The sequence below is a fragment of the Homo sapiens genome, chromosome 13 (assembly GCF_000001405.40).
Source record: "Homo sapiens chromosome 13, GRCh38.p14 Primary Assembly".
NCBI lineage: Eukaryota > Metazoa > Chordata > Mammalia > Primates > Hominidae > Homo > Homo sapiens.
This window is the reverse complement of record NC_000013.11, coordinates 90,118,351-90,125,385: the sequence shown is the minus strand read 5'-3', so window position 1 is coordinate 90,125,385 and position 7,035 is coordinate 90,118,351. Positions and strand designations below refer to the sequence as shown.

Here is a 7,035-nt window from a genome sequence, read left to right as displayed (position 1 = left end):
TATAAAATGGACATTAGACCAGGAACTACTTACATTTACTGTCAAGATGAAAATATGATTTAAATAATACAGCAGGCATTGAGCTTCTCCATATTCATATTCTCATATTGTTTGTTACTTGGACTTAAGTGACCAGGTAACAAACAATATGAATTTCATGAGACAAAGAGCTTACTATACATTTCATTTCCCCCATGAACCTTTTGTCTTGAACATATTCATCAATTTTGGCAACCCTGGCCTTATTTAATTGTCTTATATTACATGCTCTATTATTCAAAATAAACTGTGATATATAGTAAGTACTTGGACACATGTTTTGAATTCACAAAATTGGCAGTAATGATAAAAGAAAGTTGATCAGAAAAAAACAAGTAATACGTAAAAGGGAAGGGTAAATGAGTCTGAAAGAATCAGAAGACGCAGATACTTCCAAAAGTCATTGGACACTGGAGACTGTCATAGTCAAAATAGTACAGAAGTATTTTATCTCTGTGAAAATGCAGTATGTTGAGAAAGAGAGATGACTGAAGGGAAGAAAGCTTGTGAGTGATCTGAGACACAGCAGAAGCTGGTAGAAACAGCAGAACTGAGAAAACTAGTCTTTAGATTGAAAAGAACTGATTTTGTGGAAAAAAATCAAGTGAATGCTATGAAAGGCAGATTGGAATAGTATTTTTAGAACAGAGAGGAATAGTACAAAGGGAAAATTATGATGAGAAAGAAAATTATATACAAGAACAGGAAACAGGAGCCAGTATGTAGAATATTATTATTCAGATGGGAAAACTCAGAAATAAACAACAACAACAACAAATCAAAACATTCACAATATATGTGGTATGAATCCTTTTCATGTGTAATGAAAACATTGTATGCCGATTACTAGGTTGTAATTAGATAACCATAATCCAAGCAACTATAATAAAAGGCAAATAAACTAGGCACACCCTAGGAATACGACAGATTATAACCATAAAGTAAAAAAATACAAAAATTGAAAATCAGATAAAGTTGCATCCAGAGAGATAAAAAATATTTCTAATTTGAGATTACACTGCGACACCAAATGCTACTAAAGTGGAATTCTGAGGGAAAAATTTTACAGTTTCAAGGGCTAATTTTGCAATTCCCCAATTTCTTATCTTATTCAGTTATAAGAATATTAAAATATATTTTAATGAAAATATCTTCAGATGTAAGACCTCCTGAATGTATATGTTATAAACTCCAGAGTGTCCATTACAGAAATACAACATGAAAACTAAACGTCTACTTTTGAAAATATCCTATTTTCAAATTATCTTCTCTGTTTTTTTCTTTTCTTTGTTGTTATTTCTTTGCTTTCTCTTTTCTGTCTGTTCTTGGAAAGAAAACTAAAATAAACACTGTAAATTTGATGAAATATTATATAATTTGAACGCTGACTGTAAACTTTCTAAAATTATTTGGTGAGTTTTCCATTTATACTGTGCTCTAATTCAGTCTAAATTCCAATCAATGATCATAAAATTTGGCAAAACTACAAGCTGTCCTTATAATCATTACATGTAATACACAAACTTACATGATAAAGTTAACAAGAAAATGTCATAATTTTAGTTTCAGTAAATCATGTTTTAAAAAAGAATAAGAAGAAAGACTCAAAAAGAGGTAAAATTTTGCATATACTCATATATTTACCATTTCTGATGCTTGCTTCTCTTTTCTGGTATCGGAAAAGAAAGTGTCTTGGCAACAGATTTTCTTAGTTTATTTCTATTAAAAAAGTCTTTATTTTGCCTTCAATCATGAATGATATTATCACTGAGAACAGAAGTCTGGGTTGACAGTTTTGTTTTGTGGGGGTTTTTTCCCCCTTTTTGTCTTTGAGCAATTTAAGGATGTCCAATCCTCTTCTGTCCTCCATCACTCTCATTTCAGTCATTAATTGCATTGATGTTTCGTTGTATGTTATAGGTCATCTGTCTTTTACTGCTATCAAAATTCACTCTGTATATCTAACTGACTGGCTTGACTATGCTGTGTCTGGGTGTGGCTGATTCTTGGGGTTTATTTTCATGGTCTTTAAAAATATCTATGTAAAAGTTATGGATTTTACAAGTATGGGTAATTTTCAGCCATGATATCTTTAAGTTCTTTGGTTTTTTTTCTTCTGTCCTATTCTCACAGCCATTCCTGTTTCATGTACTTTTGATCATATGTTACCATCTAACATCACCTTGATACTCTAGTTATTATGATTATTTGTAATATTATTCCTATTATTCATTTTGGAAAACTTATATTGTTCTACCATTGTTTGTTTACTCTTTCTTCTGAAATGTTCATACAGCTATTAAGTTGAGCCAATATATATTTAATTTCATGAGTTTATTTCTCACTTCTAGGGTCTCCGTTTGTTTTTTAAAGTTTATATTTGAGAGAAAATATAAAGTACTTGATTTGGAAAGATAAAAATCTAAACTTTTACTTTCCTGTTTTTCTTTAAAAAAATTGAAATAAAATACATGCTCATGTATGATCTTCAGAAGAGGTTATGAGTGGTTGCTTTTCATACATTGATGTTTTTATGTTGGTAAATTAGAAAAGTCCTTAGCTACATAATCGAAACCACGGACAACTTATTCTAGTAAAATCACCTGGATTCAAAAATGAATACATAAATTCATTATGTACTTTGATATCATGAATCCAGTTATGATTGTCTTCTTGATTCCTCTCAATAACTCCCACCAAATATGAGATTGGAAAGTATCTAACATTTAATAAATCATAATCTAAGGCAATTTCATATGATAATTCAATGGGTTGTAGAAATTTTCTCCTTTCATAGAGGAGAAAGTTATTACTTCATAATTTGAAGCAACATTTTGTTAAGACTATCACACACACACACGCAATTTCTGTGGGTTGAAAACATTAAAAGTTATTTATAGCAGGATTCAGGGCTACCAAGAGTTATAAATAAGTAAATATGAATTATATTTTTCAAGCTTCATTAATCAAGTATTTTTCCAAGAACATTTAATGATGGGCCTAGTATAAACACAGCTTTTCTTTGTTGAAAACTAGTTAACAATCATTTCTCCTCTTATAATACTAAAAATGGAAGAAAAACACATGAATCACTTTCTGAAAAATTACCAATGACTTAAAAACAAGTATTTCCATAATAATAGATATTTTGGTGTCTTTTTTCTGGTTCTGTGGATTGTTTAGCTATTTGAAATGTGTGAATACTTAGTTTTAGTTCATATTCTGAAGACAAAATACCTTACATTTATAGCTTCTTGAGTCTAAAGTAAGAAAACCTTCCAGTAATATTGCATGCGTAACAGTGACATTTATAAGAGAGCATTTAAAAATATCCTCTTTCAACTTGTTGATATTGCATTGTAAGGGTATGAAGCCTGTCACTGTCACAACCATATTTTGATAATGAGAGTGGTAGGAAGAAACACAGTAAGAAGGGCTGAGCTGAAAGCTAAAAATCCCTTGTTTTCTTAAAGTCATAATTAAGCCATTGATTTGGTTGAACTTTGAAATATATTACTTTAGGGCTTTAGAGTTTTCCTAATTTTTTAGGCCATTTTACTTCAGAGTTTCTCTCTTTAAAGTCAAAACAATCAGATAAATTTGACTTTTTAAAAATATTTTGCCAAATAACACAGACCAGCAGAATAAAACAAGGAAAATAGTAGGAAAAAGCAGGAGATTATGCAAAATAGATAGAATTATCAGAGAAAAACTGTGTGGGTCTATCCGTCTGTGTGTGTGTTAGAAAAAAATAAAAAGAAAAGAAAACTATAAGACAAGCCACTTTCTCTTCTCATTCATTAATATGATTGAACAGGCCTGTTTATGACTAGAGTCTTTTGCTAAGGGCTGCAACAAATGCCTAATAGCCTTGAGATAGGACTCTTAGGTATGTTATTATTATTATTATTTTAAAGCTATTCCCCTTCATTGCGCTGTTGGCAGTGGTGTCTAAAGATTACCTCTGTACTTATCACCAAAAATTGGATTCTAAAAATCAGACTTATCTTTGTTCATATTACGGGAATAAAACAAAGGATTGCATGTTGCTTGCACTAGTAAATGTTCACTGTACTTAAGTCCTCTATACTTGATAGTGCCATTCAATTATTTCTTTTTGTCCTCTTTCTATTTAACCAGATAAATCCCTTCTTATATACAAGTAATATTATGAGTATTCATTCATTCACTTAACAGAGGATTTCTTTGGTCTTTGTGTGTGTGTGTGTGTGTGTATATATATATATATATACACACACAAAATAAACATATATATATATACACAAAACATTTATACACACAAAATAAACACATTTGAAAGACATATATATATTTCAATATATATATATATCACATATCCCACACATATATGGGATATGTATGTATATATACATCTTTAAATGTTCAATGAAAGAATATCCTATATGACTTTTAGGTTTTGCAGTCTTAGACTTATGACTTTTTATTGTGTCGGTGTGATATTAATACCTCATACCCTTAACTTTATTAAAATTGACAAACAGGTTTTTCTTCTTTATGGCTTTTTTAAACTTTTACTTAAATTTCCATACAAAGTGTTGGCAAAAAAGGCACAATAATTACGTTGCCATATCCATTCACATAATCTCCATTCTTAGAATGTTCCAGCCCAACATGATATCCTTCAGGATTTGACATCTCAGGGAAGCAAAGGGCTGCATTCATCAGTGAGATATAGAAAATGAAACTTTTAATCAGTAAATTGCACTTCAGTCATCCACTCCATCATTTCTAAAGGGCTGGGCTGCTAATTTACATTTTGGTGTATATAGTATTATGATAAAGCAGCAGATAATGACACTAATTATTATGTGCATAAGGCAGAAGGAATTTACCACTTGCACTAGGAACAAAAATCAAAATACATAATGAGTTTCAGCTCAGAGTTTATAGTCACTTGTGTCCTTCTTGAAGAAGCCAAACTGTTCTTCCACATAGGTAAATTAAATAGCAGCTCTTTTTATTTCATTTAATTAAAATGTTAAAAATAAACATATTTGAAATGGTAAAAACTGAAAAAATACCAAAGCACAGTGAGAATTGTATCTGTTTACTACAGATTTTGCTTTGGCACCCTGCCTGCATAAATTAACTAACCTGCTTTCAGGAAAATTACAAAAGGGTTAGATTATATTACATGCATGATTCCTATAAACGTACACAGTAATTATAATGAAACTGGGGAAACCAGCCACTTTGGCTGATAGTATCAAGTAATATTAAACAAGTGATAATTTTCTTAAGATGAAATTCATATCTGACAATTTAAATTTTTCAGCATGTTATTTTAATATTTGGAAAAAGAAACTTGAAAGATAAATTGTTTTTTTTTTCTTGATTTCAAGTATAAAGTTTAATGCTGTGTAGACTCTTTAAAAAGGTGAAAATAAAACAACGATGTCTAAAATGTTTTGTCTGCAAACAGATTTAACATTGTGTTCAATAATTTGAAGAATAAAGTGAAAATCTTGCTCAGAATGAGAGACAAATACAAGGATTCACTTAAACAGGTATTTTGATGGTTCCACTTATGCATTTGTTTATATGGTGTTTGGGGTTAGATTATGACACCACAAAATTCTTACATTGAAATTCTAACCCCAACTACCACACAGAGTGACCTTATTTGGAAATAGAGTCTTTATGAAGACAATTAAGATGTGGTCATTACAGTGGGCTCTAATACGATTTGACTGGTGTCCTTGTAAGAAGGGGAAATTTGAACATAGACACATACATAGATAGGGAAGGAAATGCGAAGACACACAGAAAGATGACCATCTTACAAGCCAACAAGAGAGGTCTTAAGCAGATCCTCTCACAATCTCAGAAGGCACCAACACTGCCAACATTTCACTCTCTGACTTCCAGCCTCCAGAAGTGTGAGACATAATTTTCTGTTTAAGGCGCCTGATTAATAATAATTTGTTGCAGCAGCCACGGCAAACGGAAACATTTGGGTTTCTAAAGACGGAAGCAGCTGGGCGCGGAGACTCAGGACTGTAATCCCAGCACTTTGGGAGGCCGAGGCAGGCGAATCATGAGGTCAGGAGATCCAGGACCATCCTGGATAACACAGTGAAACCCCATCTCTACTAAAAATACAAAATATTAGCTGGGCATGGTGGCGGGCGCCTGCCTGTAGTCTCAGTTACTCTGGAGGCTGACGCAGGAGAATCACTTAAACCAGGGAGGCGGAGGTTGCAGTGAGCTGAGATCACACCACTGCACTCCAGCTAGCATGACAGAGCGAGACTCCGTCTCAAAAAGAAATAATAATAAAATAAAGAAGGATGCTCTGAAAAGGGAAAGGAGAAAAGGGAGGCATTTGTGGAGTAGGTGCTCATCACTTTCTCAAGGATATTTACAAATGTAATCATATTTACCGCACAGAATCCTCGTAAAAGTGACTTAACTTCCTGACAGAGCATGAGCACCATCATCTCTGACAAACACTCCCTTTCTAGCCTCACGCATTTCAAGGAAATCACTTCTAACTACAAGCAGCCAGAAAAGAGCAGACAGTAAAACACAGGTAAGACAGGCTCAGGCACAGAGGAAGGCAGGGAGGAAGTCTCTTGTGTAACTGCCAAACTTCACCCTCATACAATGGGGCCCCAGTAAAACAGTGGGCCTTAATAAGCACATTCCTTTCTCTGCTGGTGCACTCAGATAGGGAAGCTAAAGGCAGACTCAGGGGATATGCCTGAAGCTGCAGAAAGATGTATGGGAACAGACACACAACTCTCCCTCTCAGATAAGCACAACAAAGAGACACAGAAGCAGTCGAAGTCTCTGATAAACTCTCCCACCCTGAATCCTTAAAAACTCTTAGTCTGTAAGAGAGTGCAGCTTCTGACCTAACTTGGTCAGAAGTCCCTCCCAGGTTTGAAATAAACCTGTTGACTATCGAGCCACCCTTCGTGTTTCTCTCCTCCTTCTTTAGTTCTTACTCTT

General features: G+C 33.2%; 1 long non-coding RNA gene across 1 annotated transcript in view; it reads left to right on the top strand.

Moving 5' to 3' along the window:
• Nucleotides 1-5,668: 5,668 nt before the first annotated feature.
• The window catches only part of LINC00559 (long intergenic non-protein coding RNA 559), a 59,471-nt gene continuing 58,104 nt past the window's right edge, over nt 5,669-7,035 (top strand). The window contains exon 1 of the long non-coding RNA NR_047489.1: nt 5,669-6,613. This is a non-coding gene — a long non-coding RNA (long intergenic non-protein coding RNA 559). The remainder of the gene's footprint in view (nt 6,614-7,035) is intronic.